The 27,628-nt window shown below is 40.5% G+C and overlaps 1 protein-coding gene across 3 annotated transcripts in view, besides 2 other annotated features; it reads right to left on the reverse strand.

Annotated features, from left to right (window-relative positions):
• PPM1H (protein phosphatase, Mg2+/Mn2+ dependent 1H) overlaps positions 1–27,628 on the reverse strand; it is a 291,157-nt gene that overhangs the window by 258,687 nt on the left and 4,842 nt on the right. The window lies entirely within an intron of this gene.
• Positions 4,547–4,729: a silencer, noted in NCBI's record as "fragment chr12:63301007-63301189 (GRCh37/hg19 assembly coordinates)". NCBI's record gives its function as "represses an EF-1alpha promoter that drives an FKBP-Casp9 reporter gene in an ReSE screen in phorbol 12-myristate 13-acetate-treated (for megakaryocytic differentiation) K562 erythroleukemia cells {active_cell/tissue: K562(+PMA)}" and the evidence as "EXISTENCE:reporter gene assay evidence [ECO:0000049][PMID:32094911]".
• Positions 11,269–11,563: a silencer, noted in NCBI's record as "tiled region #8347; HepG2 Repressive non-DNase unmatched - State 15:Elon, and K562 Repressive DNase unmatched - State 5:Enh". NCBI's record gives its function as "represses a minimal TATA promoter and a strong SV40 promoter by Sharpr-MPRA in HepG2 and K562 cells {active_cell/tissue: HepG2 | K562}" and the evidence as "EXISTENCE:reporter gene assay evidence [ECO:0000049][PMID:27701403]".

The raw sequence follows: 27,628 nt of genomic DNA on the forward strand, positions 1-27,628 counted from the left end.
CTGACTTTGAATTACTTCAAGGATTAATTAAAATAATACATGTATAACCCTTGGCCCAATGCCTGGCATATACTGAAGGACTCAATAATAGGTTGAGGCTCTCATGACTGTAATAATTATGAGTAGTACTAAGAAAGATAGTGGAAATAGTTGCAGTGAGGCCCTACTCTAGATGGAGGGCCCACTTGTGATTTGAAACATCCAGCCACAGTTTAGGCAATCATACAGGCCTATCTCCTATGGCAAATGGAATACTGCCCCATCAAATGGGTTGAACTAATACCACTAGACTAAGTATTTGATCACTGCTTTTTTACAAGGTACTAAGGTAGTACTCAAATTGCTGGTTTTTGGAGGACACAATTATATTGCCCAATATGGACAACTCACTATGTGAGTTGTCACCCCCTCCTGAGACACATGGACAGAAAATATAATACACTGGCAAGAGTCCAGCTTTATGGCCACTGCATTCAGACATTACCAGATTCCAAGTTTTTCCCATTTGAAGTAGCTGGTGCAGTTCATTTCTTTAGACATGCCTCCATCCACATCAAGTCTGAAAGCTTCTTTAATGCTTTTAAGATTAAGATAAAACAGCTGGTGAAGGGGTGGAAGCGTGTCAGTGGCAAAAACTCTAAAAGGAGAACACAGAGCTTGGCTAAAGACAAAGCAACAGGAAGTCAAGCACATGCACCGTCCAGAAATACCCTGAAATGTTATTTTAAGACTTCCACCCGCGATGCAATCTCATCCTCCATATTTTAATGCTTTTGTGATATTTGAAGGAAGGGACAGGAAAATAACAATGATGAATAAAATTAATTCTGGTTAAGTAACAACTAGGCCTGAGGGCCAGGTGTCCCTTAACCACTGAGCACAAGAACTCTGTGATTTTAGATACACTCAGACAGAAAATCATGGAAAATATCCACCCACCGCCAATTCCTTCAATGGCAGAAAACATAAGACACGAATAATCAACTTTACTTAAGATTTGCAAACCTTATGTGTACTAAGTAACCAGTACTGTGTCTAGTTGCCATGGGGTGGGGGAGTGGGGTGGGGGTCTAAAAGAATTGAACATTTCAATAAATGTTATTCAATAACTAGGTTATATATGAACATTCAGTCAAAATATATTTGTAAGGGAGGCTTCAGTTTCTAGAAGAGAACTGAGAAATAGAAAGGCAGCTGCAAAATTTGGTGTACACTGATGTTCATATTTAATCTAATTAATGGGTAATACATTTCTGAAAGGGTCGATTTATTTTTTTAGAGTCACCCTGTAATAGCAAATCTTAGTGACTGATGAAACCTCATACCATAAAAAGAACAGGATAGAGAAACGTAATACGAAGTCGAAATGGTTAAGGCTGTCATATTGCCTTCACTTCAAAGGAATTACATTCACTGTTGGTATTTCTTGTAGGGAACCGAGATACCATTGAAGAAGCCTTCAAAAAGGCTACATTACATAAAGCATTAAAACAAAAAAGTAATCTAGTAACAAAAAGGCCCACAAACAGAGCTGTGGGGTACAAAATTAGTTCTTCATAAATTTTTTTTTTTCTTTGAGAAAGAGTCTCACTCTGTTGCCCAGGCTGGAGTGCAGTGGCATGATCTTGGCTCACTGCAACCTCCACCTCCCAGGCTCAAGCAATCCTCCCACCTCAGCCTCTGAGTAGCAGGGACCGTAGGCACACATCATGATGCTTGGCTAATTTTCTTTTATTTTTTGTAGAGATGGGCTTTCTCCATATTGCCCAGGCTGACCTCGAACTCCCTGTAAATATTTCTTATAGATCAGTGAACACAATGCCATATTTTCTTACAATGCTGCACCCGACGGCTTCATGGGCCCTTCTAAGAAACGAAGAAACTGACCAGTAGACAGAACGGTGCCATATGTTTTGTTATGAGATATGGGCAAAAGGATTGCTGTCAGATGCCAGGCAATGAAAGTAAAGGCAGGAGGAATTTCCACCCTTGAAGTGAAATAAAGACATTTTAAAGCTACGGAGGTTGGTGTGAGCTATTCAGAGGTCACCAGGACCATCAGCATGTGGACTGTGTCACAGTTAAGTCTGCAATGTCTTCTTTTCCTTATTAGTATATAAAATAGTAGCGTGCCCAAAATCAGTATCTTAGTATATGAAATATTAATTTCTTAGAAAAAATCAATGCAAACCTATAAGCTTTAAAGGCCATTTTTTTTTCAGCTCTGACCTAGATGTAGCCTAACAGCCACAGCAGCCTTTTCCCACGCCAGCAGCATTCACTCCTAATAACAGGGATAGTGGCTAAGAGGGGGCTTCAGAGCCAGTCCCTCTAGGTTAAAATTCCAGCTCTGCCACTTACTCATGGTGTGACCCTAAACAAGCTAGTTCTCTCTCCTGGGCTTCAATTTCTTCATCTGTGACAAAGATAACAGTACCCATCTCATAGGGTTGTTACAACAATTAAATGAGACAGTATTGGTAGAGAGCTCAGAACAGTATCTCACACAGTGAGCATCATGTAAGTAATTGTTAAATAAAACTAGCACCTAGATTTTGGTGTCAAACTGTTCTCCAGAGAAAGAAGCCAGGGTTTCTTAGAGGGTAGTTCCATATCTTGGGGCGGGGAAAGTTAGGGATTGGCAAGGCTCAACGTGTGGCTAGTAGGAAGATAGAAGATGTTCATGGAGCTCAGGGGTAGTGATGAAAAGACAAATCACTAGCCAAGATGGGACAATGTGGGCATCAAAAATAGTAAGGCCATCTAAATGTGAAAGACATGATTTCATGATATCCCACACATGAAAAAGTTAATATAAAGCACACAATGAGGTGTTATCATACAAAAGAAAGGAAGAGAGTATCCATTCCACTTTATTTTAATAAATGGAAGAGTGCTAGGTGTTTTGTTTCTTCTATTAAATATTTATCCGTTTAAGTAGAGAAGAATGAACATCAGGAACTTAGTAATACTAGTCCTCGGTAAGACAGAGTAGACCAATAACAGGAAGGCTTTAACATACTTAAAAACCAGGGGGAAAGAAAATCGAAGTGTGTCAAGATGATGAATTCGCTAAATGTTCTAAGAGGTGTATTAACCACAGACTTCATCCCTCATATCCTAGGAGATAATACCCCTTCCATGTCTTACTAATGGAGATAGTAATAGATCATATGGTAGCTTCCATATGATGATGCAAAGAACCAGGCAAAGATTAGGAGGACAGGACAATGGACTATGAGATGCCAGCCAAGCAAAACTTGGAAAAGAAAACATTCTGGGAGAAGCACCATGCTTCAAAAAAACTAGAACTTGTGTGGAAAGTATAACTCCAAAATCTTACTGCTGTAACAAATTGTGGACAAATATAAAATGGAGCCTAGCCAGATGACCAGTGGCTTGGATTTGATGAAGCTAGAGATGGCCAAAAATAACTAGATCAGTTATCAGCTGGTCAGACTATCTTTCTGGCTCCAATAAAGTTTCTGTAATTGTGGAAATGTACTAGTACTATATTACTGTAGAAAAGTCTCAAAATGCACATTGCTCTAACACTGGACACTATCAAAATATATGTTGCTACAAACTTAGGAAAGTAAACAGACAAGTTTAAGAACAACAAATGAACCACCATGGCATTGGTATTTTACAACAGCTTTAAGTATGTTTTATGTTTCATAATCACTGGATCTTTGTGTGCTGTTTCCAGTGTCAGGGGGCTCAAAAGAATCAACATTGCAGTTTAAGTTGTTAAAAGAGTTAAGTCGGTAATCCATGTTCAAACAGATTTCAGAAATTAATTTTCAAAGTTTGATTTTAGATACAAATTTAATAGTTTGAGCGCTAAATTACAAATAGTAGCAGGTGCTTCTCTCTATGAACAAAAACCCCTAGAATATTAAAGAATACATAAAGTGGGTCACCAACATGATGTCCAGAGGAGTAAACTGTATTTCTCCACATAAAAGACTATTCAGAAGCACAGTTATCCACTTCTTCCATCACCATGACCCCAAGGGAAACAAAAGGTAGAGGCAACAATAGAAGAAGATATGAGATAAAAATGCTACACAGTTGATAAGAGTTCTTCCGTATTAAAAGTAGGACAGGGGGATAATGGGAAATGAACTACAATAGAACCTGGCTTCAGTTTGTTGTATAAATCCAATCAGACATGTATAGCGTAACAACACGTTCCTTCTGTTATAGCTTTGAAATAAAATGAATCTGAAATGATGAAGAATATAAATGTGTCTAGAACAATGAAATACAATGGTGAAGTTTCAGATGTGGAGAGGGGTGAAAATGGAGCTGAGAAATACTCTCAAGATTCCACTGACCCATTTCCCCTACAGGGATTAAATCAAACAAGATCGATCACCTCCAAATCTTTGGGTTTATACCTGACAACTACTCTCCTGGCAAATTTAATGTTTTTCTTTTTGAAAGGCTGATATTATTATTTCTACAATTCTTTCTCCCTGTTCTTCCCACCCTCCATCTAAGACATGCAATCTAAATGCTCACTCATGGGAGAAAGGCAACAAAGCAAATGGCACTCACTGAGCACCAGCATGTGCCAGGCACTGCAGAGGGAGATTCCCATGATCATTACATTTCATCATCACGAGTCTTGGGAGCTGGATATTATTACCCTACTTTTAGTAATGGAGAAAATGGAGTTCTGCAGAAATGAGCAAATTGCACAAGGACATCAGTGCAGTTTGAGTGTTCAGACCTGTGTTCAGGTTTGCCACCAAACCCTGCAGGCTCTTCCACTGTCCCATGCTGCCTTTGGGTTCTCTGCCCCACTCTTTTTACTGGGACTACCTGTCAGCGGTTCTTTCTCAAATGAATTGCCAAGTCAAAAACCTCAACTCTGAAACTCAGTTCCCAAAAAAGCAACATAAAAATGTTCTAGTCTAAGTCTCCTTTGTTTATCCAGTAAGTACTTGTTACACAGAAGGCTGTATCATTCCAGCCTGAATCTCAATAGTGCTCTGTGTGACCTGGAGAATTTAAACGTGTACCTGTACCAAAAAGAGGAACTCATCCTAAGTTTTCTACTAGTCACACACGTGTGACAAGCTCTCCATACCAGCCTGCACTTCAGTTTCAGATCTGGAAAAAGGTGCCTAACAACCAATGCAGCTCCCAGAGGCTGACAGAAAGAGTACCCTTCTCCCCCTCATGGCTGTCCTTGTAATGCTCTCTCTACATTCAGAACAGAGTGTAAAGGCTTTAAAACCAGCCTCTGAAGCTATCAGGGCAACATCAATTAAGATAATTTTTAAAAGCTCAAGGCAGAAAAGAAATTAACATTCCCTTTATTTTAAAATGTAGTACACAAGATTAAAAAGTATTGACGATGAGTACAGGACAATCTCCTTATTGACTTGTTTACAATCAAAATCGTGCATGCATGACAGGTCATTAGAAATTGAGTTTTGCAGCTGGGTGCGGTGGCTCATGCCTATAATCCCAGCACTTTGGGAAGCCGAGGGTGGGCGGATCACCTGAGGCCAGGAGTTCGAGACCAGCCATGGTGAAACCCCATCTCTACTAAAAGTACAAAAATTAGCTAGGCGTGATGGTGGGCGCCTGTAATCCCAGCTACTTAGGAGGCTGAGGCAGGAGAATCGCTTGAACCCTGGAGATGGAGGTTGCAGTGAGCTGAGGTCATGCCACTGCACTCCAGCCTGGGTGACAAGAGCGAGACTCCGTCTCAAAAAAAAAAAAAAAAAAGAAAGAAAGAAAGAAATTGAGTTTTGCTCATTTTTATTTTATTTTTAAAATCCTACCCAAGGAAAGCATATTTTTACTAACCAAAAGTTATTTACTATCTGCACTCTGAATGTTATGCAAGTGGAGAAAACTAACCAAGAATGGCACATAAGGTTGAGTAGAAGTCCACGGCACAAATATGCTGGCTGAGGGGCCAAAGTGTGGTTTGTATCATAGTAGGGGCTGCAACCACCCGAAGGAATGGACTCCTCTTAAGTGCCAAGTTTATGCTATGGCAAGGAATAAATGGGTAACAAAAGAGATGCAGACCACACCCCGAAGGAGCCTCCAGTAGAGTGGGTAGATATTAAACAAATAATTACAAATTACTATGGACCACGTTTTCTCAACTCTAAGAAAAACATTTTCCCTTATCTATTTAATCCTCACATGCATCTTATCAGTTATGACTAATCCCTGGCTTACAGATGAGAAAACTGGCATTAACTATCTGCTTAAAGGGGTGGATTTGGGATTGGAACTTGGGCCAATGGACTCTGGAGACCATTCCTTTAAGGACAACACTACACCAGTTCCCACCAGTCCCCCACCCCACCCTATCCCCTGGGCTTCTTAAGTATTAGAAAATGGAACCACTATTCACCCAGTTTCTCAGGCTGAAAATCCGGAATTATCTTTGACTCCTCTTTTTCTCACTCAGTTCACCAATCAATCCTGTCATCTTTCCTTTCAAACTATATCCAGAATCCTACTGCATTTTATTCCTTCCACTACTATCATCCTGGCCCAAACTGACATCATCTTATACCCGGAGTAATGCAAAAGCTTTCAACTGCTTTTCCTGCTTTTGCCCCTGCTAGCTACAATTTACCTCCCACATGGTGGCCAAAGCCATCGTTCTAAAACAATTTCCCATGTTCCTCTGCGCAAAATCTCCCACTGACCTTCCATCTCAGCAGCCACTGGCCTCAGCCATCTAATCTCCTCTGGACCCTCATTTCCTATCTCCCTCTCCTTTGTTCCCTTCTCCCCAGCCACCCTCACCTCCCTGCTGGTCCTCAAACACAACAAGCATATCCCAATCTTGGTGTCCTTGCACATCTGATTTCTGCTGGCCAGCACACTCTTAAGCCCCCATCTGTTGATGTATGTCACTCTCTGATTTCACTCAGGTCAACAACTAACCTCCCTAGAGGGCTCTTCTCTGACACTCTCTGTGAAGGAGCATGGCCCTCTTTTTTGTCTGTCTCATTCTTTGGACTCTTCCCTGCACTTACAGGTAGCTGTCATCACACTACATATTTATTTGCAAATTATCTGCTTCACCCACTAGAATAGAGGCTGTCTGTGGGCAGAGACTGCTTTGCTCACCATTTCCCCAGCACTTAAAACATCACCTTCGCACGTGGCAGTGAACAAAAGAATGCGTCTCAAAGTATTATTAAAGCAAGTCAGTAGTGTGTATTATAATGAATACCATTGTGGAATTGAAGAATGACATAATTATAATACCAACTATTGTGCTGAAGATTACGGAGGTTTTAATAACATTAATTGCAGAGAGGTGGTAATTTATCCTGGGGTTCAGAAATGGCCTCGAGGAAGGGCTATTGAAGTTGAAACCTGAGGCTAAGCAGGAGTTAACCAGGTAGAGTGGTGGGGAGGCCATTCTCCACAGATGAACCAGTATGCACGAAAAGCCTGGAGTGGAGAAGAAACATGACAGCAGGTTGGAGAAAATGCAAAAGAATGAGTGTGGATGGAGCACAGGAGAGAGGGGAGGATGGAAGGGAATCAGAAAGAGACAAGACCATACGAGGTGCTGTGGGCCACATTATCAAATTGTGATTAAGTGAATACATTGGGATGCTTATGTCTATTTATATTAATCAGTTTAAGATGTGCCTATTCATATTCTTTTGTAGTTCAGGAAAAGTTTGAATAACCTAAAGATTATCAGTCCCTCAAAAGAACTTTTCAGTAACATAACCAGGGGCAGGTATTGGCAGGAGGGCATTCAAAGAGAGAAAGATACTAATTCTTTGGACATTTTCTCTATTTCTTTTTTTTTAATGAAGCAATATATTTAAGTCAATTGTATAAAAATAATTTAGCACATTGGATTCAGAAATCTGATGCCTGTGATGACAATTTTTAGAGAAAATTCCTTTTATGTCTATATCCTTTTGACTTATGGCACTTTATCCAGGCTAACACACCATGACTGAGAGAATTAGCTGACGAAGGAAGGGCTTAGCAGTTGCTTAGCGATATCTCTTGATAAGAAAAACGGTCACCACCTCCTGCCTGTCCCATGCATTAACAACTGTTATCTCCCTCTAGCAATACTCATTTTATCTGAAGAATCAGACCAAGCCATTGGAGCACCAGCCAGCAAATCTGAGGTATACAAAGCAGCTGCCCGCAAGGAAGCTTACTCTAGTTCAGAATACAAAGTACTCACAGGTGAACTGTTAAATAATAATGGAAGGTTTAAATAAAGATCCATGATAAAAACTAAAAAAATTATGTAAATATTTGAGCACCTACAATGTGGCAGGCTCCGCAAACTGGGAACAAAAACAAGAGAATGTGGGACAGAAAATCTCCAGTGGCCATGAAATCTCACCACCACTACCTACTTCCCAAGGCCTAGAAAGCAAATCAGCTAAAAACCTGAAAAGCTAGAAGTAATGTAAATTACTGGTATTCTTCAGGGGGTCTAATGATATCTGTATCAGATATGTGGTCCCTACACGGCACTCCAAAGTCTGAGTGGGGCTAGCAAAAATTGAGCAGAGTGGCACTGTGATCATCAGAAAGATATTTCCCCCAACAATATGACAAGATCTGAAATTATACGAGTTTGTCAAATTTTTAAACCCTACGATGTAAAAGTTCTCCTTAATGTCCCAAAAGGCAATTTTTACTTTAACACATTTTTAAATTAAAGGTAGAGCTCAAAACTGTTAGTTTTTCTTGCATATCAGATTTCCAAGAAATATGTTTGTTATCTTGTACAATTCATTTACTGACCTTAATTACCTAAATGTACGAGTCAGCATTACCTGACAAGTCCGTTTGGAGATCTTACAGTGTGTGAGGGCACCCATCCTCCAGTCCCCAGCTCCTCTTGAGCCTCATCTTTCAACCCCAGCATTTACTTATTTCTGAGTCTTTGCACATCAGTTTCTACTTTCAGAGAATGGGTTGGCTGATTCCTGCTAATCACTCATCCTTCAGGTCCTAGCTTTGCCTGTGCACTCTGCAAGGGCAGGCACCACGCTTTCCCTCTACTGCATGCCCATCATCTACTCCATCACCTGTCACAAAGTAGGACAGATGTCTAACAAATTTTGTTTGAAGAAATGAACCACTGTCATCTCCCCAAGAAAACTTCCCCCAAACCAGAACACTGGTTGGTTAGCCCTCTCATCCTGTCCCTCACACATGTGTACTCCAATGACACCCCTTATCGCCTGATCCTTAGGTTGCTTATCTCCTTTGCTAGATTTAATTCTCAAAGCCTCAGGTCTTGTCTTGGTTCTTGTTAAATCCCAGAGTCTTCACAACAGTTGGCAACATTTGCTGATATTCCTTATTAAATCTTTGAGGAACTCACCTGTTTCCCCCTTTCAATTAAAAAAGAAAAAGATGGCATCCATTTCACAATACTCTTGAGCCTACAACGCAAAAAAGTGGTGATTATATGAAAGGACTCTAATTAGAAATTCAGATAACATAGTGAAAAACTACTTATGAAGCTAACAACATTCATTTAGCAGAAAAAATTATTTCTTCACAGTCCCAACTTACTGCCTAGGACAGTAAAATCTAGAACCACCTTCATTCCCCAAACAACCATTAACTTTACTTTTCTAAGTACTGATAAAACTTGCGGGCTACATTATGGTGGCAGTAACAGATGTTTATTTTTCATTCACTCTACGCGTCCATTTCAGGTTGGCTCCGTGTCTCTTCTCTCAGGAAGGACAGGGCTTCCACAATCTGGAGGGTCACCCCTTGCTGAGGCAGAAGGAATAGGAGGGGAAGAGCAGTGTGCCCAGGAGGAGGAGACTTGAAGTTGAGAATTGGTGAGCAGCATCTTAATGGCCATCACACGAGATTTGGCAGAAATGTACAGAATGTACAAGAGTAGTTAACCTTCTACTATGATATCCCAGAAGGTAAGTCTGAATCAATATACAGACTCAATCTGTTTTTTGTTTTTCAAAGCTAATAAGACAAACGCAGGTATTAACTCACTACAGGGCAATTAACCAAAAAAAGAATCCACCACAATGTAATTGGACAAGGGAACATATCCATACTCCCAGAGTACCTACAAGAGAATTTTATTAACAGACTGACGTAGCTCTAGAAACTAAAAGCAGATTTGTTCCCCAGCTGTTCCTAGGTATTGACACAGTGAAGCCTCAGCATTATCCAACTGCTTCCACCTGGCACTGTCAAAAACCATTAGTTTGTAGATGATTCCACAGGCACGGAGTATCCACCATGTCCTTTACGGCTACTATAATTTATACTCACATTTTGAACAAATATAAATGCAGGCTCATGCAAAGCATATGGTATGGGCAGGCAGAGTGAAGGAAAGATCACAGCAGAAGGGACCCCATGGAGAGCTTAAGGGAGAAGCAAGGCTATAGGTAAATTCTTCAAGTTCCAAAGAAAGTGATATGGATAAAATTGTTAATGAAGATGGGGAAGAAAGGGAGGAAATGTTCTAGAAAGCTTGGGGAACATCAGTATTTAAGGGAGATTTGAGAAGAAAAGGGAATGTGGTGAGAAAACTAGAAAAAGAACCTGAAGGAGTCCCCAGAAGTTACAGGATAAAAGACTTCGTGGACTAGAGAGTGAGCAGCGACAATTACTGTTGCGGTGAGGATGTGGAAGATGCGCACATTTTCAAAGTGACCATCTGCACCTAGAAGGTCACTACAGGTGAGCGTTTTCCTAAGTAGCACTGAAGTGGAAGCAATGCATGGAGAGCACCCCACAGTTTCCCAGGCGCATCCTACTCTGCCCTTCCATGCACCCACACTCGCTTTCCTTTCCAGCTCTCCACTGTCTGGCTGGCTGCTTTATGGTTCAGCTCCTGACTCATGTCCTGGGGAAGCCTTCCTACAGTGGCTTGTTCGGCTGGATGGGACTCCTGCTAGACAACTTCAGGAAAAGAGGTTTGTCTTGTCTTTGTGTACTTGGCACCCAGACAAGTTTTTGACAAAGTAAGCATTCAATATACTGGTTTTTTGGGGGGTTCTTTTTTGGTGGGACAGAGCCTCACTCAGTTGTCCAGGCTGGCGTGCAGTGGTTTAATCTCGGCTCACTGCAACCTCCGCCTCCCGGGTTCAAGCGATTCTCCTGCCCCAGCCTCCTGAGTAGCTGGGATTATACGCATGCGCCACCATGCCTGGCTAACTTTGTATTTTTAGTAGAGATGGGATTTTACCATGTTGGCCAGGCTGGTCTCGAACTTCTGACCTCAAGTGACCCGCTGGCCTCAGCCTCCCAAAGTGCTGGGATTACAGGCGTGAGCAACCATGCCTGGCCCAATATACATTTCTATAAGGAAGGAAATAAAGGAGTGCTGTAGTTTGGTTTGTCCCCACCAAGTCTCAGGTTGAAATCTGATCCCCAATGTTGAAATTGGAGCCTAGTGGGAGGTGTTTGGGTCACGGAGTCAAATCTCTCAAGAATGGCTTGGTGCATCTTCATGGCAATGAGTGAGTTCTGACTCTATTAGTTCCTGAGAGCTGGTTGTTATAAGGAGCTTGGCACCTCCTTTCCTCTCTTGCCATGTGACCTCTGCACATGCTGGCTGTCCTTTGCCTTCAACCATGAGTGGAAGCAGCCAGAGGCTTTCGCCAGATGCCCAATCTTCCAGCCAGAAGAATCATGAGCCAAATAAATGTTTTTTCTTTAGAAATTACCTAGCCTTTGGTATTCCTTTACAGCAACACAAACTAAGACAAGGAGGGGAAGATTTTCTTAAAAAGGGAGCAATAGTACACACAGTAACTTGAAGGGGTGATGCAGCCTGGAAAAGGAAGTGTGTTGTTTTACCCAATAGCAATGACTTAGCACATCTGTGGGAGAGGGAAGGTGATGGAGGGTTAAAGACACAGGACGCTAGGACAACAAATGAAAGAAATGGAAGACACAAGCGTGCTGTGTGGAGTGTTAACATTTAGCCTTCTCCATTATCATTCAAGAGGAAGACAATACTGGAAGGTCTTCCAATGACAATTATATGCATCAGCCTAGAAGTGACACTTCATTTATGCTCAAATATACTGGCCAGAACGAGTCACATGGACTCATCTACCTACAAAGGGAGCAGAGAAGTGTAAGCCTCCCATGTGCCCACACGGAGAAAGAAGGGTATGCGCTAGATGTCGCTAACATCTCTCTTCCTTATTCCCAAACAGTCCCACAATCTATTAGCTTTACTATCTAGAAAGCCTCCAACAAGGCCTCTTCTCCAACTCACCATTGTACTTCACCCTTCATCTGTTTCACTCCCATATCTGCTACTTTTCCCAAACATAAACCTCATGTCATTCCCAATACTTGCTTACTAAAAAAAATTCTTTGTGGCTGCTCACTGCTTATGATGTAAATAAAGTTCCTTTTGATGACATACAAGGGCGTTCACAATCTTATGCAAACCTACCTCTTGAGCCCTGTCCCTGCCTCTATGCAGTTTTTGTTTTTTGTTGTTGTTGTTAAGAGTTAGTGCCTTCTGGACTCTTACTTGGATGATTTTTAACTGCAATGAGTTAGAAATCTCAGGACAAAAGAAACTTGGCTTAGGGTTTCAGTGGCTCTTTATTTCTTGGCATATGTGGTGAGTGCCTGCAGCGCCTGCAGCCCTCTGCCTCACGCGCGACCTTCAGGAGTTCTGCTGTCTGCTCCAGCACTGGCTCTGCTCCCTGCGTGGTTCAATCAGGAATGGTTGGAGGGCTTTGGGCACAGCTGCAGCAGAGTTTGTGCAGGAAACGTCCAGGTGATCAAACCAGCAAATGAGGGATTATTACCTTTTCTGTAGCAAAAATTGTGGTCCTTAGTGAATTCACCTGGGACCTCCATCCATGACAAATCCCAGGTTTTACCTGAGAAGGAAAGTCCCTCCCACTTCCCCTTCAATCCTGGATACATTGCATACAGGCGTACCCAAGAGCAGCCCAGCAAGAGTCCTAAATACAGAGGCATCATTCAGACATGATTGAAGGGAATCACCAATCCTACAGAGAGGTTCCAGAGGACATGCCTGGCAGACCTAAAGAGCAGTCAAATGTTACCAGCACCCACTCTTTCTGTAAGAAGGAAGAACCATTGTATGTCTAGTGTCAGGTGGTTCAGGCTCCACGTGGGGATTCTGACAGGCCTACAAATAGTCACAAAAGATTTTTCTAATTCCCAGAAATAGCCGCTTTCAAACCGTCATGACCTTCCTCATGCTGCTGTCTCCCTCATGTGCCTCCTCTACACAAAACCTGTTCTTCCAGGGTTCGAACAGTCAGTCAGCTTTGCTCACCCCTTCCCATTTTCTCCAAACTTAGAATTAACCAGCCTGTGCCCATTTGCTGGGTTCCCAGCACATGTGATCAATGCCTTCATCACAGTAGCTTATTATATTATAGTTATACACACAATGTCTCCCCTGCTAACTTGTGAGCCCCTTGAAAATAGAAAATATATTTTTTAACCTTCAGAGCCTTCCTTACACTCCATGAGGAGGTTTAATAAATGTTAGCTGACTGAAAACTGAGTTAACTGAATGGTTTTCTGTCAACCGAGCTGAAATAGTCTTAAGTTTTACTTGTAACTAATATGGCTTGCTAAATATGGGCATTGTTGATCATACATCATCTTCTTTAATAAACAATCTTAACTATCAAACCATTTAATAACATAACACAATCTAAACATCTTCTGTTTTGGTATCTGTCTCATAATATAGTCTGAAAAGTGTGAATGTTAGGTAGAGATGGTTCATCTTTAAGTCTATAAGTACCTAACCAATGATATTTACTGAATAGAATAAACTATTTAGATTCCTAACAGAGCTGCAAAACTGGCTTTACTGATGAGGTAAATCACTGCTTTGAGATATAGTAAAAATAAATATATCTCAGGAAAAGATATGTACTTAAGTGCAAACACCAAGAGTATTTTTTTTTTTGGTGACAAAAAAATTACTTGAGCATACTGTTTTAAATGAATTGTACTTAAATCAGAAGAACTCTACTATAGAAATGGATGCTGAAGCAGTTCTGGTATAAATGGAGTTACTGAAAAGTAATAAATCAATCCTTGAAGAATATTCAAAAGCACATTAGGGAGGAAGCTGATGTAGGCAGAGTCCCAGTCATTCATCCTTAGCCACTTAACCCTGATGACCTTCAAGGAGCTATTGATGCTAGCTGTCGGTCGCTTAACATCTGAAATGAACAGACCACTAGTTACCCTCTACTTAAAAAAAAAAAAAAAAGGTAGCATGTGAAAGTTCAACTTACAAAGAACCAATACTGATTAACAGTACCATTCTGAACATTATGAAAATGTCTTGCACTGACATAGGTCACAAAGCAAGCTTCCTGGTGCTTTTAAAATATAATTTGACTTATGTGAATTTTCAAAACCAAACCTCAAGCAAGCCTCTGCGTCCTTTACTCAGGTCAGAGATGCTGAGAGCAGTACAGTGACACGTGGCTGCAGGGCCACGTATAAGTACAAAGTATTGATTAAAATTACATCAAGTGCAGCTGCTTTCTGCGGCAATTTAACGGCCAAAGTGGGAGAACATTAGCTCTGTGCCAAGTGGCAGCACAATTCTGACAGCCATGTAGATGTCCTCAGGTCACCCACCTACAGACAACTTGGGGCTAAATGAAAAGGCTGAAATCAGATCTAGTTGTGATCTTCATTTCTTTTTTTCCTGGAAGGGTCAGTAAGAGCTTTCAATTTTACATTTTTTCAACTTTTAGTCGACCCTAATTAGATATCTACATACCTTACAAATTATAATTTGGCTGTAACAGAACCATGTCTCAAAATGGACATTCCAAAGTGGAAGGAAAAGCTTGTCATCACCACCATGATTTTGTTTGCTTCACTGATAAGATTTTGAAGCATATCCCCCTTCCAGGCAAATATTTCAAATCATCCTTTCTGGACAATATAGTAACATATCACATTACTTTAAAAGAATTAGGGGAGAAAAGCCTAAACATTTAGTCTCTTTTAATTCAGGATAGGCTACTGAAGTTTATTTTTATTTTTTGATTTTTTTTTCTGGAGACGATATTATAACCTGTGCTTGGTGCTCATTCTTCATGCTGTAAAGGGTGGGGAGAGCAGGATACTGTCCTCTAAGCAAGGGGATTAGTTTCCACTACACCATACTTGGTTTTTCGTGCTGTTAGATTTAGACATTTGTTTCATAAAATCAAATGTAACTAGATTTTCAATTCACTTCCACTTTTTGTTAAAATGCATATTCAGAGATTTTAAGATAAAGCAGACAAGGCAGATGAAAAAATGTTAATTTGTAATGTATACAAATATCCCACTGAAAAGTCAGTAGAAATTAAGAAGTACCCAACTTCTCTTATGACACTTACTCCCACAGCACTGTACAGCTGGGAAGGGCTAAGTCGATGACCTAACTTTATGAATATGCAAACTGAGGATTTAAAAAGTGAGGCTGCTTGCTGAAGCCACAGACTGGCTAGGGAAAGAGCCAAGACTACCTCAAGCTGCCCCTTCAAGTTATTGATCATGGTGCCACCCCAGCACCATGCTACTCCTCTGTCATGCTGTGCATGGGTTCTCAATTTTTCATTAACTTATTTTCCCAAGAAGAGTGTGAGCCTCCCAAGGTTAAAACCTCTGTATCTTTTGCCTCTTAAGACATGTGAAGCATACAGTAAATGCATGATGGTACCAAAATAGGGGCAATTGAAACCTAAATATTAAGGTGAAGCAATAATGCTTTTTAATCAGTATGTCCAGCTCACCAAAACACTACTTTGGTAAAGTACATTAAAGTATATAGCTAACACTTCCCAAAACAATTTTCAATCTAAACATTGATCTTTTCTAACTATTAAATAATGTCACAAGAAATATTAGGAAAGTCCATTTTGAGTATTTTTCCCAGAAAAATGTCACTTTTCAAATTATAGCTTAGCAAAGATTTACCTACAAGGAGGTTCATCCCAGGACTGCTTTCAATAGTAAAAACTTGGCTAACATCAAGGAAAAAAAATGTGTGTTACAACCATAAATAGAATACAATGCAGCTATTAAAAATGATAGAGTAAAATATTTGTTTACATGGGAAGACAGTGACTCCATTTGAAGTGAAAAAACTCATCAGTATGTAGAATTATCGCAGTTGGAAAATAGATATGTACTAATAGGTGCACACAAATTATCAATCGAAGCTAATTACAGGTGATAGAATATATGGATAGTTTATGTTCTAAGTTCCTGACTAACCAATGCCTTCCTCCACTTTGACAGGTTAGTAAACATCTAAAGATAATTTGAAGTTCTTCTCATCCACAGTCAGTGGAGATAGAAATTTTTACAAGAGAAACTTTTGCCAAAGGGTCAAACTCTGCTAGAAAAATAATAGTCTCAGCATGAGTTTAATTAAACTTGCAGCTGACATGCATTGTGCCTCTCGGGCAACTTGTAGCACTTTGGAAAGCAAGAAAATAAAACTATTAAAAGACTGTTTTTCAACAAGAAAGAGGACATCAGGGACGTTAAAATAGTGTTCCTGAGGAAGGTGCTACACTTCTGAAACCCAAACAAAATGATCTTGACACTCATCTGAGTATAGTTTGTTGGTAACTCAGGTGATAAAAAATCCAAACCTGTGAGCAGAGAGTCCTAGCCTGTGGTCCAGGCTCCTTGAAGACCTGGAAAGGTAGAAATAGGAGATCTAACCTGTTTTAAATGTTGCGGGGTGGGGGCTGGGGGAGAAGCTAATGACTAACATTGTGGGCAAGAAGTACTCAAGGTTAACAAAGGTTAATCCTTTGCTTTTGGCTGAAATGTTATCAGTTCAATATGATTTTCACTACACCTTCATGATTAGGAGATATGATGTATCTGGTTAATTTTTTTTAATAGAAGTAATTTAATGCTTATTTAATACAGCTTGCTGGACAAAATTTTTCACAAGGAATTCATCCAAGAAAATGAAATAATAAAAGGGCTCATGATGTTGAGAAGGTTGGGAACCAGGACTTGAGGAATTTACAGCACAAGTCCTCATGGAGCCCAGAACCAGATACAAATCACATCTGGTGGTCCCTCTGAGGATGGCAAGGCAGGTGGCAAGGCTTCAGGTGGTGTGCAAGGGGCAAAAGGGCAGCGTGGCCAGGTAGTCTCTGTCAGCACTAAACTGATGACAGGGGAATGGGGAGAAGAGGACAGGCAGGGCTTCAAGTATGGGGCCCATGTGATTCCCAGCTGAACACCAAGATTAAAAAAAAATACATAAATAAACACCAGCTGCTGTAGTCAGAGTTGCCAATTCTTCTCTTCTTCCCATTTGCTGCTGCACTGAGTCACCAGCCCAGTTCTGGACACCTGGTTCTAACAACAGAGCAGCATGGTCCTCTGTGGCATAGCCTCATTGTTAATAATCACAGGGAGAATTGCCAAGAGGGCATCTAATCGCACTCTTTGGCTCCACTCCAAACCATACCTTATGGGGAAACACTGTCCTAAAAGGCTGATAAAATTACTGTTTGTCCCAAATGTATCTTTTAGAGTCCATCCTCCTCGGTTACTTATTTACAACAAAATATTATAGCTATTTCCTCTTTTATGTTACAAAAAATCCTCTTTTTAAAATTGCTTTTTTTTGTTGTTGAGACAGGGTCTCACTCTGTCACCCAAGCTGGAGTGTGGTAGTGTGATCACAGCTCACTGCAGCCTTGACCTGCCTAGTTCAGGTGATCCTCCCACCTCAGCCTCCCAAGTAGCTGGTACCACAGGTGCACCTGAATGAGGTTTTTTTTTTTTTTTTTGTGGAGACTGGGTCTTGCTATGTTGCTCAGGCTGGTCTTGAACTCCTAATCTCAAGTGATCCACCTGCATTGGCCTCCCAAAGTGCTGGGATTATAGGCATGAGCCATGGCACCCGGCATCAAAAAAAAAAAAAAGAAAGAAAAAATTCTTAATAGTCCCTTCTTTATTAATGTCAGTTTGGTTTCCCATTCCTGCTTTCACTGGCACCCTCTTATAGGCTATTCATAGTCACTGTACCTTACAATTTGCTTCCTACTGAACATTTACACTCCATCTTTTATTTTTACTGACTGCGTGTAACATAATTTGTCAACATTCACCTTTTCAAAAAGGCATATAATGACTATTAGTACACCATAGCAGACCACTTAAATATAGAAACTCAATAATCTATAGCATTTTTATGTAATTAATTAATTTATTTATTTATTTATGTATTGAGACAGAGTCTCACTCTGTCGCCCAGGCTGGAGTGGAGTAGAGTGATCCTGATTCACTGCAACCTCCACTTCCCGGGTTCAAGCAATTCTCCTGCCTCAGCCTCCCAAGTAGCTGGGATTACAGGCACCTGCTACCACACCCAGCTAGTTTTTGTATTTTTAGTAGAGATGGGGTTTTGCCATGTTGGCCAGGCTGGTCTCAAACTCCTGATCTCAGGTGATCCACCCGCCCGCCTCGGCCTCCCAAAGTCCTAGGATTACAGGCATGAGCCACCACGCCCGTTCATATTTTCATTTTAAAAAAAATCAATTTATCACAAGATTTTTTTCCTTCCTATACTTATACAAAAAAGATCACAGGGTAAAGATGCACCATTTTTTAATAGCTTAAATGTCTATTTATCAACTCCCTGAAAGTACAGTAGAGCACACAAGCCACTTTGGTCCTCTCAGCTGGGCAAGTAATTGATCTGTCTGCCCACATCCCTGGGATGATTAATTACACCATGCATCCAGCAAGGCTCCATTAGGCCTGGCTTGTGCAAGCCAGCAATGTAGATGCACACACTCAAGATGGCCACCGCAAGAGACCATGCTGCCAAAGACAAAGGTATAAATGCTACACTGAATGCTGTCACACTTTTTGGCCCCAAAGTTCACTAACTTGAAAGATTCCCATTAAAACTTGACTCTGAAGCAAGTGTGGTGGTGCCCACTCACAATTCCCTGCTGCCTGGGAGGTTCAGGTGGGAAGATCACTTGAGCCCATAGGGTGATATGATTGTGCCTGTGAACAGCTATTGCACTCCAGCCAGGGCAACACAGTGAGACGCCATCTCTAAGACAAACAAGCAAACAAAAAACTTGACTCTGCTTAAGTAAAACTTAGGTAAAAAAATCTCCCAAATTAAATTTTACAGGGGACTCACATAAAACCTCACTTACGATTTAAGCCCCATTATTCAGAATTCCTAAGTACATTTCCTTACTTCTAAGTAGCTACTGATGTTAAAACACATGCTGTATTTATTAACTTTAGAAAAAAGAAACATCACTACATAAAATGTACAGATTGGTTTTTAAGACATACAGGCTTTCCAAAAACATTAAAATATTTTAAAATAGCAGTTGTAGTCCAAAAATATAGTAATTTTGACAAGGTTTGGACTGTTATACTTAGGAACGCACATATAGTAAGGAAGTATAATTTTAAGAGACTACTATACTCAATAGAACTATTTTAAAGTACTGTTAAATGTATCCTTTTATACAAAACTTGATGTGCCAACATGCCTTTATTCCATGTAAAGCCTCTTGAAAATTAGTTTCCTTTGAGTTAATAAAATGCATTTAATTCCCTTATGTGGCATTTTGTTTATGGGGATAGGATGTCTTTTTTTTTTTAATAATTTCACACAATGAATGGTCAGGTTTAATAATTCAGTGATGGTCACCAGGGTCATGGGACAGCCTGCGATTCTAAAGTAACTTGATTTCTCTCTGGGGTTCATTTTCCTCTTTTATTGAATATAGATAACAGATGCTTACCTTTAAGCATTAGACCAGGGCCTTAATAATCATCCAGAGCTACAGAGATGTAAGTTGGTGTTCTCTTATTCTTTCTCCTAAATATGAGAGCATAAAGTCCACAGAAAGAAAATACAGCTAGGCAGTTAAATTTTACAGCCGTTTAGAGAAAACTGAGTCAGAAATAGTATAACAAAGGAAGCACTATGGATTCATGTTTCAGAGGACCCAGCTGGTCTGACCACACCAGAAAAAGAGCAGCTGAGCGGGTACTCTGCTTTCCCTAAGCTGTTAGTGGACAATCTCTACTTCAGAAGTATGGAAAACACAGTGATGTCTTGATTCATCATGAGCACTTTTCAGGTAACACATTCTGAAGTCTATTGAAAGAGTACTCTTCAGGGAGCATTCCTGCCTGGCCACCAGCTGAAAAGAGGAGTGATTCAAGTTTTAGGCAGATTTCCTAATTTAATTAAATGGGAGCATAGCAAAGAGATACTTTCCAGTTTGACCCCATGTGAAGCTCAACTATGTGGATGCTAAGTTATGGGAAGCTTATCAACTGAGTGAGCATTTGCAGGGGCCAATGTTATAAAACTGAAGTCTGAGGTGGCCCCTTCCATGCACAAGGACCCAATTGCTGCTGTTTTTCTCAACTGAGGATGTCAAAGTCACTCAAACTTATTTTTTTATTTTTCTATGGAAAAGAACTTAAAAGCATAAATTAAGGCCACTGCACTAAAGGAAAAACAAGCTTAGAGATAACTCAAGAATGGACTGATGGATGGACACAGAAATGGGTACACACACAGATAAATGATAAAGCAAATCTAACAAAATGTGAATTACAGAATCTAGATGGCAGTCATATGGGTGTTAAGTCTACACTGGTTTCAACTTTTCTGCACATTTGAAAATTTTTTTTTCTTTTTTTGTTTTTTCTTTAACAAGACAAAGTCTCCCTCTTGGCCCCCAGGCTGGAGTGCAATGGCGCGATCTCGGCTCACTGCAACCTCTGCCTCCCGGGTTCAAGCGATTCTCCTGCCTCAGCCTCTCGAGTAGCTGGGATTACAGGTGTGTACCACCAAGTCTGGCTAATTTTTGTATTTTAAGTAGTGACGAGGTTTCACCACATCGGCCAAGCTGGTCTCGAGCTCCTGACCTCAGGTGATTCGCCCACCTCGGTCTCCCAAAGTGCTGGGATTACTGGCATGAGCCACTGAGCCTGGCCGAAAATTTTCATAGTAAAATGCTGGGGGAGAAAATAATTCCGAGTTATAATCAAAATAAAGGAGGCAGCAGGCCCCACTGTGAAAAACCTCAGCCCTGAGGGCAAGACACTTGGTTCCTGGCCCAACCCCAGGAACTCACAGAGTTTAGAACCCCAAAGGGCATTGGCAATCCTCTAGGGCAGGTTAAATACATGGTTTTATGAGTCCATGAAAATTTAGAAAAATAGAAACAATATTTTCATAAAACTATTTGATTTAAAAACTGTTGTTTTGCTGAGGTTATATGCCTCTATGCTTCTGGTTTTAAAAATCCTTTATTTCATGAAACACTGGTGATGGTAGATGACAGATTTGATTATGTCCACACTTGACAAAATAAAGTTAATAACCTCATGTCAGTCTTCTCAATATTTCTGAAATGATAAAAGGTTACAGAATAAAATAAAAATTCTGAGAACTACCAATGCAGTTCAATGACCCCATTTTGTAAGACGAAACTGAGGCCCAGAGTGGGGGGGGCAGTAGCCAACTCGACAACTGTAGGCAGTTCACCAACTCAAAGGGTTAAAAAGGTGACTCACTTAATCATAGGTGGGATGCCTATCCAAGGAACAAATCCCAGGTTACACATACAGGGATGGAAGCCTCTTGTAAGAATCACCCACATGGCTGACTTTTCAGTGCTGCCACTGGTCTTCTGAACATAATCTCTGTCAGCTCAGCATTTAGATCAAATTTCTTACAGAAACCAGTTTCTGAATTTTGATGTTAGTCCTTCAGCCATGCTTGCACAAACATAGGTGAACAGTGACATAATCCAAGTGCATAAGGAGATGCGAATTTACTACATTCGAGACTATCATCCACTGGTCTTATTTTTTCTAAGCTTTTCTCATAGCCAAATGGCCGGCACAGAATTTTATGTAGAATATTGTGAAAAAACAGAATACATTTTCTTTGTAAGCTAATATTCAGGGAAACCCGAGATGACATTTGATAACAATACAAGTAGCAGACTACAAAACGTGAGATTTCAACTGATTGAAGAAATGCAATTAGCCGGGTGTGGTGGCTCACGCCTGCACTCCCAGCGCTTTGGGAGGCAAAGGCAGGTGGATCACTTGAGCCCAGGAGTTCGAGACCAGCCTAGCCAACATGGCAAAACCCCATCTCTACCAAAAATACAAAAAATTAGCCAGGTGTGGTGGCGCATGCCTGTGGTCGCAGCTACTAGGGAGGCAGAGGCACAGGAATCGCTTGAACCCAGGAGGCAGAGGCTGCGTTGAACCTGGATCACACCACTGCACTCCAGCCTGAGCGACAGAGCAAGATTCGACTCTGTCTCAAAAAAAGGAAATGCACTCAATAAACCTGCATTTAAACTACAAAAATAATATAAATAGATGAATATCAAATTAAAACCATGTCTAATAAAGGGAAAAAGGTAAATATCTTAGACTAATTAAAAAAGGGGAAACTATAGAAGTTGAACTTTTGTTTTATAAAATAAACATCCATTCACCAAATATGTCTGTCATTACCCTACCTGCCTAGACAAATGAGATGAGCAAAAGAAATAAAATAACAGGGAGCAGGTGGGGTACAGTGACTCACACCTGCAATCCCAGCATTTTGGGAGGCCAAGGTGGGTGCATTACTTGAGGCCAGGAGTTCAAGACCAGCCTGGGCAACATGAGGAAACTCGTCCCTACTAAAAATACAAAAATTAGCCAGGCGTGGTGGCATGTGCCTGTAGTCATAGCTACTCGGGAGGCTGAGGCATGAGAATTGCTGGAACTGGGGAGGCAGGTGTTGTAGTGAGCCAAGATTGTGCCACTGCACTTCAACCTGGGTGACAGAGCGAGACTATCTCAAAAAAACAAACAAATGAACAAACAACAATGAGCAGAGCTCTGGTGTGTCATGCTAGCCAGGTTTATACCCCTGTGGCTGAAGAGCTACATCATCTTATATTAACATGTAATACTCATTTATTGGTACAAACCTTCAAGCCATATAGCCATATTTAGTTCCAAAGCTGGCCTGAGTCTTTATCCCTTCTATGGCATTTTTGGGGCAGTTTTGAATTCCTAGCCTAGACAGCTCCCCAAGGTCTGCAAGGCAGGGCAGCAGGCACATTCAGACACAAACACTATTTGCCTGTTGACACATTTGTCTATTTGGTCATTTCATCTGTCTTCTAATATGTGCCTGAAACAAATAAGGTACTCAAATATTTGTTGACTGAGTTATCTATAGTAGTAGAATCTTCGAAACTATCTGCCCAGCCCTAACTACCACCACCTCCTTTTTAAAGAACTGCCCATTTTCAGGGGTGGGTCCTGGCAGCCATAATCACCTGTGGAGAAGGTGGACATCTGAGACAAACTGAACCTATTGGAGTCTCTCTCCCAAAAATTCAAAATTGGAATTGAAGCCACAGTTGATGTGGTCTGGTTGCTTGTTGGTGGCATGGAGAAGTCACCCGTGCCCTGGTGAAAGACTGAAAGAATGGCCACTTTGTTGCTGAATAGCTTTCTAGTTCAGGGTTCCAGTCCCTTGTAAAATCCAAGTTATTCCTATACTTGGGTTCTATAAGACAGTTGGTATCTAATCACCATTTCCTTCCCCCCACCACCCCAAAGTTAGCTCAAAGGCATTTCTATGAGTTGCAACCAAGGGCAGTAAGTAGCTAAAAGGAGTAGGATGGTTATTCTAGTACTTTACATGTTCTAAGCCTGATATGAAATAGAAGCCATAGAGGAGATTAGGTATGACCACCCAAATATTAAATTTTGCATTGCAAAGAAAAAAAATGAAGTTAAAAAATGAACATGTTAGAAAAAATATCACAACATAATAGGCCAAGGGTGAACAGCCTTAAAATATAAAGAGCTCTTATAAATATGAAACATTATCTCAACAGAAAAATGAATATAAACAGGAAAACCGTAAAAAGATCTCTAAATGGGTCAGGTGCGGTGGCTCACTCCTGTAATCCCAGCACTTTGGGAGGCCGAGGTGGGCGGATCACCTGAGGTTGGGAGCTTGAGACCAGCCTGACCAACATGGAGAAACCCCATCTGTACTAAAAATACAAAATTAGCCAGGCATGGTGGCGCATGCCTGTAATCCCAGCTACTCAGGAGGCAGAGGCAGGAGAACTGCTTGCACCCGGGAGGCGGAGGTTGCAGTGAGCCAAGATTGTGCCATTGCACTCCAGCCTGCAGGACAGAGCAAGACTCTGTCTCAAAAAACAACAACAACAACAAAAAGATATTTAAATGGCTAATAAATATCTATAACATATAAGTATATACATCTGTTTATTCATTTTCTTCAATAATCAAACAGATTACAATGAAGTATATTTCATCTATCAGATCACTGACAAATATTAAAGGCTTAATACTAAAGTGGTAGACACTGCTGGCTGCAGTGTGAATTGATACAACCAATCTGATATGTATCACAGTTGTGAATGTGCATAGCTTCTAACCAAGCTTTCCATGTCTAGAAATTAATCATAAGGAAACAACTGAATGAGCTGAAGAAAACATATGAAGATATTCACTAAAAGCCTAAAAGTAAATCTAAATGTTCAATGGGAGATTCATGAATGGGAAGCCCTTCAATGGAATATTAGGCAGTCGACATATAAGAATATATGTTGGAGGCCGGGTGCGGTGGCTCACGCCTGTCATCCCTACATTTTGGGAGGCTGAGGCAGGTGGATCACCTGAGGTCAGGAGTTTAAGACCAGTGTGGCCAACATGAGGAAACCTCATCTCTACTAAAAATACAAAAAAATTACCTGGGTGTGGTGGTGGGCGCCTGTAATCCCAGCTTCTCAGGAGGCTGAGGCAGGAGAATCACTTGAACCCAGGAGGCAGAGGTTGCAGTAAGCCGAGATCGTACCACTGCACTCCAGCCTGGGCAACAAGAGCGAAACTCCGTCTCAAAAAAAAAAAAAGAAAAGAAAAAGAAAAAAGAAAATAATATACGTTGAAGAGGGGACCATTTTATATTCTTAAGTGAAGGAGACATGTTATAAGACATGTAAACATATGATCAGCTTTTATTTTTTTTAAAAAAATACCTATATAAAAAATCTGAGAGACCAAATCTAAAATACTAACAGTGGCTAATGAATTAACAAACATTTTTCACTCTGTTCTTCATATCTTTTACTAGTCTATATTATCTGAATTTCCTATAATGAGTATCTCATGGTTAAAAATGTTTTAAGTATTTCATTAGACACAGTGAAAAACCACCAAAGGTAGGCGTTCCACAGAACTGGATATGAATCCAAGATCTGCCACTTAAAAAGCTTTGTTACTTTGAACAAATAACTTACCTACGTTGCATTCATCTCATTAAATCCTTATACATAAAGTGCTTAATAGAGAACCTACACACAGGACTAGCTCAACAAATGACTATTGCATTTAGCAATTTTTAATGCCTCTAATAAAGTATAAATAGGGATAATCCTATCACTATATGGTATATGGGAGATGGGCCAAACAAATCAAATGCTATACCGTTCTTAAGCTAATAATTTGCAAAGTATCTACTGTAGTACCAAACTGGAAAGCTAGTGAAAACCACTTATCTAAAAAAACAACTTGGGAAAGGCTCCTCAACTCTTTGCCATAACATTATGTTGTATAATTAGGTTCAATCCTGCATCTTTTGCACCATAATTAAGGGCATCTGCTCTCCTTACATGGTCAGTAGGAAACACAGTCAATTATGGAGGGTCACAGAAGTAATGCAGATAAGTCAGAATGAAAATCACAGTTAAATAACTGCAGTCCCACCTACTCTCTCCCCCTTCTCCCCCATCTGCAAGGATGACAAAGATTCTCTCCTCCACCAAACTTGAGTCAGGCCTCTCTTCTCTACTAAGTCACAACGTTGGCGCCAATCCTGTTCCTTAAGCAAGAATCCTGTTAAGTCAGGTTAGCAAGAATCCCCCAAACTTGATACCTGCTCAAGTTCCTCATTCCCCACCTTTGATGTTACAAGTCTTTGGTCTGCTTTCAGCAAGAATCCTGCTAGGTCAGTTGAGTTTGGTTTAATGTCCCCGCTGAGTAACTTTCCATTCCACTGACCCCTCACACTCTACTCTTTGCCTACAAGTACCAGCTGTCAACGTGGTATTGAGCTGGGTTGTTTTCCTATATTGCAACAGACTTGAGTAAAGTCTTCCCCAGCATTGTAACAAGTGTCAGAATAATTTTTTTTCTCTAACAGCAGGGAAGGTCTTGGGCCTTCAGGTACAAAGCTAATCATAAGCTGGTTGGAAAAAACAAGTTTGCTTCCCTAATGTGACTTAAAGGCTCCAAATACTGAGATTTAAAATTACCCAGAAGCATTAAGACATTAAAATCAAAACAAAACTCCTGGTGCTGGTCCCTTTGAACCTTAATAGTCTATTTCATTTTAATTTAATTTCAAAGAAAGTACAAAAGGGGAAAGATTATGCTATAAAATTTTCTTGAGGATAATGACTATGTCTTATTATATTATGAATCCAGCATGGGACCAATGCTGGACACATAGTAGGAGTGCAATGATTTCATCAATTGAGAGAAATAATGGAAGCAGATGAATGATTATTTCCTGAAAAATGATAGCAAAAATTCAAGGGGACAAGCTAACTAATCCTCCCTTTAAATTAGGCAAATCACAGAACTATAAAGGCACCAGAGTTTATTTCTACCAAACATTGAGAATTAAAAATAACTCTTGAACATTAATGTATTTTTAGACAACAATTCCAGTATGCAGTTTTACATTTTCAACTAGTACTGCTGTAACCTTAATTGAAAGCACTGTATAGTGGGGTCATAGCAGAGATGCGGATGTCTACCTAAACTGGGACTGAAACATATAGTAAACACCCCCCTGCATGGTTAAACCCTTTGCCTGAAGCATCACCAGTCCTTGAAAGAAGCTGATGCATTTTCCTAAGAAAAGAGACATCCCCAGGAGCTCCACCTAAGGGGGATGATTTCTTTATAATGCTATATCTGAAATATGAAGGAACGCTTAGCTGTCTGCTTTAAAATAGGAAATTAATACCTTTTGCAAGTCACCAGAAAGGTAGCTGAAATAGCTCAGGCTACTCTGGACTTGTAACTCATCTGCAGATACCCTCACCCACTCCTTTTTATCCTTACATAAGAGTAGAGAACCTCAAGTTTCTTCAGTTGCAAAAGTCAAACAGGAAGTTTCCAAGCAGGAGTTCTGCAAAGAGGTATCAGTCAGTAAGAGGGGCAGGTATGCCAGGAAAAGTTAGAAGGGAAAAAGAAAGGCCAGGGGATTTCCGAGCTTTGGGGCAAGAAAGAAATAGCGGTTTTTGTGTCTTCACCACCACCCAGCCAACTAATGCCATTTATTGGTAATAAGCAATTAGTGCCAATGACCAAGGAGACAGACAGCCTGCAGAGTCCAAAACAAATCCAAATACCTGTAGGCAGCTGGCTGGATTTAAATAAGGTTATTCCATCAAAAATTTCATAATTTTCAACTCTGTGAGACATACACTTATATGATATACATTTAACAGACACTCTCAAAGTAGCTTTTGTTTCT

This window comes from Homo sapiens, chromosome 12 (genome assembly GCF_000001405.40).
Source record: "Homo sapiens chromosome 12, GRCh38.p14 Primary Assembly".
Taxonomy (NCBI): domain Eukaryota; kingdom Metazoa; phylum Chordata; class Mammalia; order Primates; family Hominidae; genus Homo; species Homo sapiens.